At 49.7% G+C, this 13,053-nt stretch overlaps 1 protein-coding gene across 12 annotated transcripts in view, besides 1 other annotated feature; it reads right to left on the bottom strand.

Moving 5' to 3' along the window:
- MPRIP (myosin phosphatase Rho interacting protein) overlaps nucleotides 1–13,053 on the bottom strand; it is a 150,187-nt gene that overhangs the window by 91,268 nt on the left and 45,866 nt on the right. The gene's annotated exons all lie outside the window — the stretch shown is intronic.
- Nucleotides 5,102–5,688: an enhancer, noted in NCBI's record as "H3K27ac-H3K4me1 hESC enhancer chr17:16999002-16999588 (GRCh37/hg19 assembly coordinates)". NCBI's record gives its function as "activates a minimal SCP1, AML or CMV promoter by ChIP-STARR-seq in primed H9 embryonic stem cells {active_cell/tissue: H9 hESC(primed)}" and the evidence as "EXISTENCE:reporter gene assay evidence [ECO:0000049][PMID:30033119]".

Genomic DNA, 13,053 nt, shown 5'->3' with positions numbered 1-13,053 from the left:
CAGGCTGGTCTCGAACTCCTGACCTCAGGTGATCCACCTGCCTTGGCATCCCAAAGTGCTGGGATTACAGGTGTGGGCCACCAGGCCCGGCCTTTTCTTTCTTAATATCCGGATATAACATTACTGAAATGTTAAACTCTGCTTCTTAACCAGTTGGCAGGTGTCACTGGGCCTGAGACCAGGAAGATACTTTATTGAGGGTGAAGCAAGGCTCTCCCTTGCTCAGAGGGCCACACAAGCATAGCAGGACATGGCAGAAGGTTCCCCTGCCTTCTCCCCAACTCTTAAGATAAATTCCCTGAGTGAAGCAGAAGGGTGGCAGAGAAGACAGGATATAGCGCTCCACTGAGTTCTGGTTTAAATCCACAGTCATCCTAAAAAACTGTTCTTATTCTCCCCATTCTACAGATGAGGAAATTTAGGTTTAGTGAGATTGCAAAACTGTTCAAGGTTAGCTAATGCAGTGGTCCCCAAACTTTTTGGTACCAAGGACCACTTTTGTGGAAGGCAGTTTTTCCAGGGCCACAGGGAATGGATGGATGGTTTCAGGATTATTTAAGCGCATTACATTTACTGTGCACTTTATTTCTATTATTATTACATACTCACCATAATGTAGAATCAATCAGTGGGAGCCCTGAGCTTGTTTTCCTGCAACTAGATGGTGCCATCTGAGGGTGATGGGAGACAGTAACAGATCATCAGGCATTAGACTCTCATAAGGAGCACACAACCTAGACCCCTTGCATGTGCAGTTCAGAACTGGCTTCACGCTCCTATGAAAATCTAATGCTGAAAGAGGTGGAGCTCAGGCAGTAATGCTAGCTCGCCTGCCACTCACCTCCTGCTGTGCAGCCCAGTTCCTAATAAGCCATGGACCTGCCTGGGCACTGGGGACCCCTGAGCCAACAGATGGCAGAACTGAAATACACACACACACACACCAATTCATGTATTTTCTGACAAAGTGCTTGAAGACAGACTAATCCAATTTCGTTTGTTTTGACTGGTTCGACAAGGGGGAAAAAGCCCAGCTTGAAATGAGCTGTGAGTCTGGCCTCTGTACCCTGGACTCACTGGGTCAGCCGTGCCATGCTCTCCAAGCCAGACTGAACTTGGTGATTCAGGAAGGGCATTGAGGCGCTCTGGAAACCTTGGATCTCAAGTCAGAATCTCTTTGGAATGGGGAAGGTAGGCTTCCAAATTAACGTGTTTCCAAGTCAATTCTAAATCTGTACCCTTCTATTCAACCCGCCGTCCAGGACAGCTATAGTGCAGGGTGGAGCCTGGTCAGAGCCACCAAAGGACCTCCAAAAGGTGGGCCTCCCCACCCAGCGCCATCCCAGGAGGAGACCACCACACAAGGATAAGTGTCCCCTTGCCTGCCACGAGTGACATCAGGTGGAGATGTCCCATCTGATTCTTCCTGGAAAACATCTTTTGATCTTTGTGCTTACCTATTTTCACAAAATGTATAATTTTTACAAAATTTGTACAAGACATATGTTAGTTTTATAATTGGGAAAAACACTTGGGACAGCAGACCATTTTCATGGCATCTACTCTCTTGCATATGACCACTCCTCTTGACTTGAGATCAAATCCAATCTTTATATATTTTTTATTGTCTACATTTTTTTTAAAAAAGAGATGGGGTCTCCCTGTCTGTCTCCCAGGCTAGACTGCAGTGGTGCAATCAAGGCTCACTGCAGCCTCCAACTCCCAGGCTCAAGCGATCCTCTGGCCTCAGCCTCCCAAGTAGCTAGGACTATAGGTATGCACCACCACATCCAGCTAATTTTCAAAATTTTTGTAGAGACAGCGGTCTTGCTATGTTGCCCAGGCTGGTCTTGAACTCCTGGCCTCAACTGACTCTCCCACTTTGGCCTCCTGAGTCACTGTGCCTGGCTCTTGTCTACATTTTAGCTACAGGTTTGCTTCACTTTAAGGACTCTTAGTAGGAAAATTCAAAGTTGCAAGAAAAGTGAACCAAAGGAGGACTTTTCACATTTCCTCATGGGTTTTCACAAAAAGCTGTGACCGCCTATTAAGTGAATTTAGATGCAACTCAGTAACCCTATAGGGAGGTGCTGGACCCTACAAGGCTGCAGGACTGGTTGGCCCAGCAAGAGCCTGGAAAGAAGGGGACTGCAGAGGACGGGGAGTGTGTCCAGGGAGGAGGGAGGGAGAAGCAAATGGCTTTCAGCTGGCTCTTCTCGGCTGCTATTTGCAATGTATGTGCCTTTGACATGGCTATTTTTGGGTTTCTGAGTAGGGGAAAATGAAAGAAAAGAAGCCTTTTGCACATCGACCCTTTGCCCTAGCCCACCCTCCTCCCTCCAAAGCCCCTCTAGGGGATGGTGGAAGCAGATCCTTGCGTATTCTTCATCCCCCACCCCACTACCCCCTGCTTTTGGAATATCTGTAGGCCTCACCCACGTGCTTGTCTCTTTATACAGAGCTGGGAAAATGTGGAGATAAATAAAGCCTCTATTAGGCAGGCATCCAATGCTGGGGGGTGGGGCAGGGAGGGGTCTGAGGCTCTGTCCCAATCTAGGAATGCCTGAGAAAGCTCCAGGGGCCTCAGGCAGCCTGGAGGTTGGAGGCTTCCCACAGACTCCTTTTGCCTGTGCTGACCAGGCGTGGCTGGGGCTTGGGAGCCCTGGGAGCCAGCTTCTTTCCCACCGGGGACCCACAGCAGGGCCTGGCTTCTCTTGGCCATCCCATATGCAGAGGGGAGAAAGGGGTTCTTGCTCTTTTCCCCTTCCTTCTTTCTCCTGGATTCCCTCCTCCGAGTGTGGGCCTGCACCGATGCCACGCCAGCCCTCCGGACCCGACAAAGGCAGCCCTACCCTTTCAACTCTGGAAACTCAGCCTTTCGTATTTATTCCGTTCTAATCCTGTCAAGAGAGGGAGATCTCATTTCCTCCCCTAGCCGAGGGTCGGGGGAGAGAAGTGGGCTCTGTGGGGACAGGCCTGGGTGGGAAGAGGCTTGCAGATATTTTTAGAGACATGGGAATTAGGCAGGCAGGGGCCTTCTGGAGCTGGAAACAATTCCAGTCCCAATTCCAAAAGGCCAAATGGGTGGTGGAGAGTGAGGGGCCTTGGAGGTGGAGTGGGCAGGCGCAGGTTCTGGGGAAAGAGGTTGAGGCTGAGCGCTGAGCTCCCTGGAGCTGCTTTACCTTTCTTCCTGCTGCCAGCGGTTTCCTCGCTTATCAAAAGGTGCGTGAATGCCACTACTTGGCATTGGAACCCTGGTGCCTGGCCCCAGCAGGACACCCCCAGCAGCCCACTCTTGGCAGAAGCAGCGCAGGGAGGCAACATGGCAGGTGGATGAAGGCCCATCACCCCCAGCTTCCTTTGCTGCTGGCTCTGGTTTGATAGCAGAAGAATGACACAGGATCTAAAATAAGATTTTTTCAATTATCTGCAGGCTTCCAATGGGTCAGGCTACCTCGGTTCTCAAAGACCACAAACTTAGTCTTAAACATCTGTGTGGTGCCTCACTCAAAAAGCTTCTCTCAATAGCCTCTGGAAAAGTCAGACAAATCTGGGGGTAGGATGTGGAGAAAGGAAAATTGAAAGGAAAGTGAGAGACCCTGGGTGCCTCCTGCTGCTGTTGGGAGTGAGCCAGTTCTGGACAGAGGTAACTATCAGCTGTCTCAAACATGCTTGCACCTCTGCACTGGCAACATTACTTCCAGGAATGTTCTCTGAAGCATCATATTAAAAAAGTAAAAATCTGAAAACAACTTGGATGTCCGAAAGTACAGAATAAAGGAATCAAATACAGCCACCCAATGGAATGGGGTGTAGCTATTAAAGACCATGCATAGAAGGATAGGAAAGGAATTGTGAGATAGAATTTGTTTTGTTTTTTTAAGAGACAGGGTCTCCCTCTGTCACTCAGGCTGGAGTGCAGTAGTGCAATCCTAGCTCACCGCAGCCTGGAACCCCTGGCTTCAAGCGATCCGCCCACCTTGGCCTACCACAGTGTTGGGATTACAGGCATGAACCACCATGCCTGGCCAGAATATTCTTATTAAAAATAACTGGTTTATTTAAAAATTATTGTTTTTAGGTCTTACATAAGCACATAAATACACATCATAAGAGAATAGATACATAACCACAATATGAACCGATTTTTACCTCCGTGTGGGGTTTAATAGGCAATTTTGCTGCATGATTTTGTTTCCCCAAATTTTCACCATGAACTGATTTTACTTCTGACATTAGGTGGGGGAATCACTGCTTCTTCAGCCCCTCTGCTTTGGCTGATCCTGCCTTTTGCATGTGACACTCCCTTCCTGCTCCACACCCCAGAATGTTCCTAGATTGTTCTTCCCCAGGGAGTTGCAAGGCTGCCAGCCTGGCTACGATAGCCGGGCAGGCACGTGTGCCTGTCTCAGTGCTTATGCTCCCTGCGATGGCTGGCCCCTTGGTCTTCCCAGCAGCCGACGAGATTCTAGAAGACAAGGATGCTTTTTCATATTTATTTTCCACCTCTGAGCCCCTCTGAGGCACACAGCAAGGCAGCAATGGGTGAATGAATCCAAGCTCCCTTGTGGTTTCCCCAGGCCCCAAGGAGAGTCACTGGGAAGACATCTGGAGTGAGGAAAAGGAAAATATATTAGTGCTCTGAGGCCCTGGGTAAGGACAGGGCTGAGCCCCAGATCTGCCTGATGGTATTGCTCAAGGCAGCCGGAGTATCAGCTGTGGAACCTGCCCAGTCAACAACAAGGGTCTTATTGTTAGTCCCAGGTAGGTGATTGGGCCCCATCAGTAAATGGCCTTATTCACCAGAGGGAAATGAGATAAACTGTCTCCTCTCCCTCCAACCTTTCTGGAACAACAGTCATCATTAACCCTTGGGTTTCCAACCAGAAGAATCTGGAATTTCAACTATTTATGAAAGTATCTTTTCCTCATAAAATTTTCTCCAAGGTACTGGAGCAAATTATAGATGGTACATTTAATGCAGGATGCCAACACACACAGGTCCCCTGGCAGGCATGTGCATTGACTCTGAGACACACACACACACACACACACACACACACACACACACACACACACACACACACCCTGCACACACACACACCCTGCCAAGCACAAAGAGCTACACAGGCCCAGACCAACAATATGACCCACACAGGGGACAGTGTGGGAAAGGACAGGGAACAGTGGCATGGAAACAGGTGGGTACAAGGCAGGCACGATATGCCCATGATGGACACCAACACGTGTCGACAGGCTGCGGGCCAGTTCCTGACACACAGAGGGGCCTCCAGTTAAACACAGGTGACTTAACACACCAGAATGTTCAATTGCCTGCTAAAACCCTAATTAATATGACCATAAAGTGTGTGTGGGGGGGAGGTATAAACTCTCAAGGATGAAAAGCTGGAGAGGAGACAAGAGCAGATATAAGATATCAAGTAAACTTTGAGTGGGAAGTGGCTGGATACATGGAAAGTGGCCTGGTGGCATGGAAGAAGCTTCCTGAGGACAGCTAGGAGGAGGCAGGCTGGCACTGCTGCAGACACCAGAAAGCTCAGGGCCTGGGGGCAGAGGGGACTCCAACAGCAGGGGCAGGGCTGAGAGCAGGAGAACTGATCAGCACCCGTACAAGGGCAGGCAGATCCCAGGGCTTGGCTCTGGCCAGAGAATCCTATATACTGACCAGCACGGAGGGTTGCCCTAGGAGGGCCCCTAGAGTCAGGGGCAGCAGGCACAGCTGAGGGGGCAGGGGAAGTAGGGGTGAAGGACTAACAGCAGGAAAAGTCCAAGAAAGTCTGCATCCTAAAAGTTGAGTCCCTCATCCCAAGCCCTTCTGCTGCCCACAGGTCTTCCTAGATTGGAGATGAGAGAATTCCTATCAGGGGAAACCAACAAGCCCAAGAGAAAGACCTCCTAAAACTGTCATTCTCCATGTAATGGAGACGAGAGGGCTCGTACGTGCGGACATTCTAGGGTCTCTCCCAAAACAAACTGGTGCCCTGCCTGCCTGTCCTTCTAAGGCAAAGCCTGCCAGTCGATATTCCTACACGCACCCCATATACACACACAGCCTCCTTCTGAAGGGTCGCCACTCATTCGAGAAAGCCCAAGACCATAACAAACAGAAAGGGAACTAGGAGAATGAAAGTCAGACCAGAGACAGAATACAACTTCAAAATAACTGAAATGATTAGAGAAAGTACTGCACCCATGAAACACAAACAGGATGCTACAAAAGAGGACACACGGAAAACAAAAAACAAGCTCTAAGAAATTAACAATTCAATAGGTGGAATCAGACCCCAACAGAAGGGTTAGAAGGCAAGGTTAATGTGATCTCAGGCAAAACGAAGCCACAGAAAAAGACAATAAACTTAGAGAATCGAGTCAGAAGGAGTAATAGCCAAATAACAGGAGTTTCAGAAGTAAAGACCAGGAAAAATTTTAAAAAAAAATTACCAGGATGGGCACAGTGGCTCACTCCTGTAATCACAGCACTTTGGGAGGCCAAGGTGGGCAGATTGCTTGAGTCCAGGAGCTTGAGGCTGGCCTGGGAAACATGGCGATACCCCCATCTCTACCAAAAATACCAAAATTAGCCAGGCATGGTGGCACATACCTGTAGTCCCAGCTACCTGGGAGGCTGAAGCAGGAGAATCATTTGAACCTGGGAGGCGGAGGTTGCAGTGAGCCAACATTGTGCTACTGTACCTGGGTGACAGAGCGAGACTCCATTAAAAAAAAAAAAAAAGACAGTGAAGAGAGGAGAGGGATGAGTTAAAAAAGAAAGAAATTACCAGAGGAAGAAAATATAAGACACACTCTGGACTAGAAGGTCAGAACTTCCCACACTGAAATATACACAAGCCTCTAGCTTAATAAAACAAAACAAATCCACACCAAGGCATATCTTCATGAAATTTTAGAACTCAAGGGATAAAGAGAAGCTCCTGAAAGTTTTCGGAAGGAAAATTCAGTTTATTTGCAAAGGATCAGGAATCAGACCCTTGCATATGAACTTCTCAATACCAATGATAAAGTTAAAAAATGAACACCACCTTCAAAATTCCAAGGAAAATTAGGTCCCATCTAACATTCTACAGCCAGTCCAGCTCCTGGTCAAGAGTGTGCACAGGACAGGCATCCTGAGACAGGCAAGGCCACAAAACCTTTCCTCCCTGTGCATTTCTCAAGAGGTTTCACCAAGTGAAGTAAACCAAAAACCAAAAAACAAACCAAAAAAAACCCCACAAAAACAAAAACGAACAAACAAAAAAACAGGTGGGGGAGAAGGTGGAAGAGAGAGAGAGAAAGAGAGAGAGGCTTCCCAGGATGATGGGGAAGGTCAAGCCCAGATGGAGAGCTATGCAGCAGGTCCAGAGGACAGCCAGAGTCAGTCTGGAACGTGAGGACGGCCAGCTCTGTGAGTAACATTACCAGGAAAAACAAGGGTAGCTGGGTAGGAGCAAGGAGCCAGGCCGATGAAAGAGCTAAATCCTATCTGTGGTGTATAAAACCAATAGATAATATCTTCTAAAACTCAAGAAGTAGCAGTAAAAACCAGTTATTTACAAACACAGAGGTAGGCACCGGAGTATTCTGGCTAGAAGAGCTGAAATGGCTTCCTCTGGGAACAGGACTCAGGAGTAAGAAGAAATGGAGCAGAAAACTCTTTTAGTATAAGCTTTGTGGTTACATATCTGACTTTTTGAACTACTGTACATACACTATTTTGAAAAAACAATTAAAGCCCCTCATTGCCTTTAAAATTCCCATCTGGCCCATTTTCAACCTTCACATATATCAGGGAGCACAGTAAGATCCAAGGGTAACTATTGCATGATAGGGAGAGAAATGGGTAAATCTTATGTAATCCCCCTGCCCCGGAAAAAATAACAACAACAAACTACTGCCCCACTATCACACCAATGAGAATACAGAATAAGTTTTAAGGGTCTGAGAGACTGCTCCCAAGGTCCTCAGGTCAAGCATTTTACACTTCTCTTTAGGTGTGTTTATACATAAAATTCTTCATTGGAAATAAAGATTGTTTCCCTAACTCCTAGGTCAAACTCCTCAGACAGGGCATCCAATGCAGGAGAGTTCATGCAGGGACTATGCGAAGATCCTTTCCAAGCCTCCAAAGTTGTTACAATTCAAACACTTGACTTTGGGGGAAATAGGATGTTTCAACCAAATGACTGATGTGTTCTAAAATTAGGCAAATGCTTTTTTCCCAGCCAGGAAAAGGCTAACAATATATGAAGGAAACCAGCATGGCCGTTGCCACCCGTTTATCCAAAATTCAAATGTGTTACTCTAAGGCTAGACTTCTATGCAACAGCCCTCTTACCCCTCCCCACCCTTCAAATTACTGCACAGTCCACCTCACAGCACCCAGGACTTCTCAAATGGCTGGTAAGTGACAGAACAAACAGTAAATGCACACTTGCACGTCTATTCCTTTCCATCGACAACTGACCCCTGGTGTGGCCGGGGCGCTCTCCTCACCCAGTGGGGGCCACGACAGAAGGGCGAGGCTGTGGTCCTAGAACACAAGTTGGATGTCCTTTGACATTACCTACACCTGTGTTTCCCTGCAGAGTCTCTGTAGGAGACAGAGAGAGAGAGAGATAGAGAACAAGGGTGAAATGACCCCAGGAGGAAAACTTTACTCCCCTTTCCTGCTCTGGAAAGGACAGGGCTTGCATTTACTTCAGCAACAGACACACAGTGAAGGAGCTCAGCGCAGGGTCTGATCCCATGGGCTGCAGGAGACAGAAAACGTGAATAGAAGCAAGCAAGGAGAAAGAAAAGGATGAGGGAAGCCTTCGGGAATTCCCACCAACTGGGCTCTGGCCTCTCCGTCCCCCACTCCCACTCTACTAAGAAGGGAGGGGCTAAAGATTAGAAGTGTCCACCTACCTAACCTGACCCTCGAGGACGCAGCTGTCACAATGACATATTCTGCACATCACAGTGCCTAGCACAAGTCAAGCAGATGACCAAACAGTGTGCACCTGACATATATTCACAGCCACTCCCCTTCCCTAAAATTCTAGCGCTGGACATTTAACACGACTATAACACGCCTCAGACCATGAGAAAGAGGAAGCTGAAGTCTGGCCACATGGATGATGTGAATGAGGCTGACACCTGTGGCTCTAGCCATCTGCCCCACTTTGTAGGGCTTACACCACCCATCTTTGGAGTGGGGAGAGGATGCCATGGGGAATATGGTGGAAGAAGCGACAAGATGGTACAGGCAGTCAAACAAAGCAAGCCAGGCAGGGCCCAGGGAGTTAAGGGGTTGTTCCCACAGAGGGCCCTGGCCTGACGCTGGGCTCCAGCACCCTCCTCTAGTGTGGGTCGCCATAGCATCACCCAAAAAGAGCACAAGTCCATTTGCAACAATATTCAACTGGACCTCTCTCCCAGATGTCGATGTTTATATAGAATGCTGCCAGGTCCACTGGAGTGGGGCTGTTTTCCTAATCTTTTCTCGTGGAGCACAAATAGTATTCTCTTCTCCATCTCGGAATGGAGGCCCCAAGAAACAAGAAACCCAAGGCGTTCTTGCAACACACATCCCACCTCTCCCACTGCAAGTCCATGTCTCTCATCACAGCCTCTCACCCTCCCCATTCTTTGCACCCTCGGTTTTTCCTGAGGGAGAGCCGCACCAACCCTGCCTCTTTAAGCAGGGCCGGGAGGACCGCAAGGGATGTGATGTAGTGAAAAGGGCACTGGAAAAGGGTCGGCTGTCCAGCCATGGTTCTGGGACAACCAGCCGCATGACCCTGGACAACACATTCCATTCAGCCCCCAGTCACCCAGCACCTAATACGCACGAGAGCATCTGCTGGGCTGAGCCTTGAGGAGTGTCTCTCTTGGTCGCTCACTGCTCGCTGACAACTGCCCTGTTCACACCAATCCGGGCAGGGAGGGATGCTGCACGGAGCAAGCGGCATCTGTCTCTGAAGCCTACTGGGAGTGATAGTGGGGACCCTGCCTGCCCCCTGGGTCTCAGTTTCCTCATCTGTCAAAGGTGAGGGCTGGACTAGATGATGTCCCCAAAGACCCTCCTTCCCAGACCACCCCACACCTACCGTTCTCATGGCCCCTTCAGATACAGCTAGAACGGCCTCTGGGTCCGCTGCTGGGACCAGAATATATGGTCGTCCTCGGTGGGTCTCTTGCTGAAAACCCACTGGAAGTCAGGGCCAGGCAAGCATGTCCTCCATATCCAGGTGCAAGTCAAACCCCACCCCCTCCCCAACCGCCCCCGAGATCTTCAAACCTCAGCTGTCTTGGGGGATGAAGCCAAGAGGACTCCTGGCCCTGTGTTCCCCTGTGGCCGGCACGCTCCACAGGTATTGGCCACCTGACAGCGTTAGGGCCCATCACTTGGCAGAGGTGTAAATACCTGCTCCAGTTTATCCTGGCATAGCCGAGATCTTCAAACATTAACCAGGTAAGGCTCCAAAACCTTCAGGCTAGGGCGTGTCTGGGCCCCAGCTCACAGAATGGGAATGGAGCCAGAGTAGCTCCACCCACCAGGTCTCCAACCTGTGGCTCAACGCAAAACCCCCAGATCGCCCAGAAAAACCCTGATTTTGGGCAAGTTACTGCTCTCCTCATGCGACCATTTTCAGGATTAAATGCAAACACAGTGAGGACGCTAGCACTGTGGTTTGTGTGTGATTTCTTTTTACCTCTACACTGATCACAGACGCTTGCTGGTTCCAAAAACTGTACTCAGTGTCCAGAGGAAGTGAGCCTTGGACTTTTGCCCCAAGACAGCCACTGCACCCTGCAGACAGACGGCCAACACCACTGATGAACCCCAACACCACTGCTTCTCAGCTGGGCCCTGGGCATCACAAAGCATTCCCCAGCCACCAGGTGCAACCCTGGTGGGCTCAGAGGAAGACAATGACTCACTGCTTATTAGACTTTGTGGAGCAGCCCATCTACCACCCTTCCATCGAGGCAGAGGAACAGACAGAAGCCCAAAAGCAAGCATTAGCTACATGAGGACAGGGGACGGGTTGGGGCCGTAAGACCCTTCTGCCCCTGCGGGACAAGCCTGCCTTAGTGCGGCTGGTTGGAGGTAGGTCACAGCTGGGACTGCACAGTCCTTCAGAGCCTTGTGGCTCCAGGGAGTCTCTCTCCTCCTCCACCTGCTCTGTCCCTGTTCCTTCACCTTCGTGCCCCAAGGTCTTGGTCTGCAACACCATGCCTGTCTGCACCTCACACGTGAGAAACACAAAACCAGTCTCACCAACAAGACGACCCTGCTCAAGGACAAGGAGTCTTTTCCGTCTCCCCACCTCCCCCTGGGGTTGAATCAGTGAACAGGAGGCCAGGCGTCGTGTCTGCTGCGCTCTACACATTGAGGGGCTCAGCTTCCACGCTGACTTGAGTCAGGGAAACCTTCAAAGCTCTGCAGTGCCAGGCTCCACACTGCCCCAACCGGAGCAAAAGCCACTTCTCCATCGCCCCCAACTGAGGACGGGGCTGGCTCTTCCAGGTCCTTTCCAGCAATGACATTCCCTGATCCTGCTTCACACTGAAAACACAAATGCTCTGGAAGTGGGGTGATGCTGATACCTAGGTGGTGACTATGTCATCCATCAGGGCAGTCTCTGGTGGCCCCATCTTCCTTTCCCCGTTTCTCACGCCTACACCTCACACCTAGCAGCACCCCCACAAGTCCTACTTAGCCCTGCTGAACTCCCCAGAGCTCAACACCGGAGCATCTGTAATCCCAGATACTCGAAAGGCTCAGGTAGGAAGATCACTTGGGCCCAGGAGCTCAAGGCTGCAGTGAGCTATGACTGCGCCACTGCACTCCAGGATAGGTGACAAAAAAAAACCCAATCTCTAAAAAATAAAAAATGAAAGAAAAAGTCATCCAGATTCTGATCTAAGAGGGAGGCAGAGGAAAATGTGACAAAGAGGATAAGGAAATGTGATGACAGGAGCAAGAGACTGTAGTGGTGACAGGAAGAGGCCACGAGCCAAGGAAGGCAGGTGGCCACTGGAGCCTGCAAACAGTGGAGAGGGGATTCTCCCCCGGGACCTCAGAAGGAAGCTGCCCTGCTCACATCTGGACCTTAGCTAAGTGGTACTCATTTTGGACTCTCAACCTCCAGAGCCATCAGAGAACAAAGATGTGTTGTTTTAAGCCACTAAGTTTGTGGCAACTTGTTACAGTGGCCACAGGAAACAAACACACCTGCCATGTTGTGTGCTGTGACTGGCACCTCCCACAAAGGAAGCCACCCTGGAGTTCGATTCTGACACACTGAGGGCAGGTGTTTGCAAGTGACTGGTCCGTGCCTGTGTGTGGGCTGGACCAGCCCTCAGGCCAGTACATGGCATAAGGTGAAGGACACCTCCTTCCTAAGGTCCCTGTGCTGCTGACCTGCATCTCTGAGATCCCACCAGTGCAACTGCTCCCCGGGTTCAGAGAGTTTTCCCCACCATAAAGAACATTTCCTTCCCGGCCAAAGAAAAGATTTTTCTGAAAAACAGTCTTGCAGAGGCCAGGAGAGGCTAAGACACTAACATACTACATTGCCTGCCAGAAGTGGTGCCCTACGTGGATCAGCTCATCAGACTGTTTTTGGACATGATATATTTTCCAGGAATGCCCCAGGCAAAAGACATGGCCAGGCAGGTGGGGATCTCAGCAGGGGGCAGAGCAAGGGAAGCCTAAAAGGTGAGAGTGGAAGGGATGTGCCCCTGGGGGACTTTGCAGTCTGGCTCCATGCTGCCAGCCCTGTTTGTGCAAGTGTGTGAGCACTGCACAAACACGTGAAGACACTAGCACCAGCCATGTGGCTTTGCTTTTTCAACCCTAAATATTTTCTGTTGCACCTCCCATGAAATGACTTTTTTTGACACTTCTTTCCCCGCTCTTACTTAATTAGTTTCCTAACCAACTATTCCAAGCTTTTCACTTTCTTAATATCTAAAGTCATTTCTCTCTGTGTGGGAGGGAGACGCCCAGTACGTTATCACGAGCCTTCACGCTGCAGGGTA

Source organism: Homo sapiens, chromosome 17 (assembly GCF_000001405.40).
Source record: "Homo sapiens chromosome 17, GRCh38.p14 Primary Assembly".
Taxonomy (NCBI): domain Eukaryota; kingdom Metazoa; phylum Chordata; class Mammalia; order Primates; family Hominidae; genus Homo; species Homo sapiens.
Note: the sequence above shows the minus strand (reverse complement) of the source record. Positions and strands in the feature narration are given on the sequence as shown.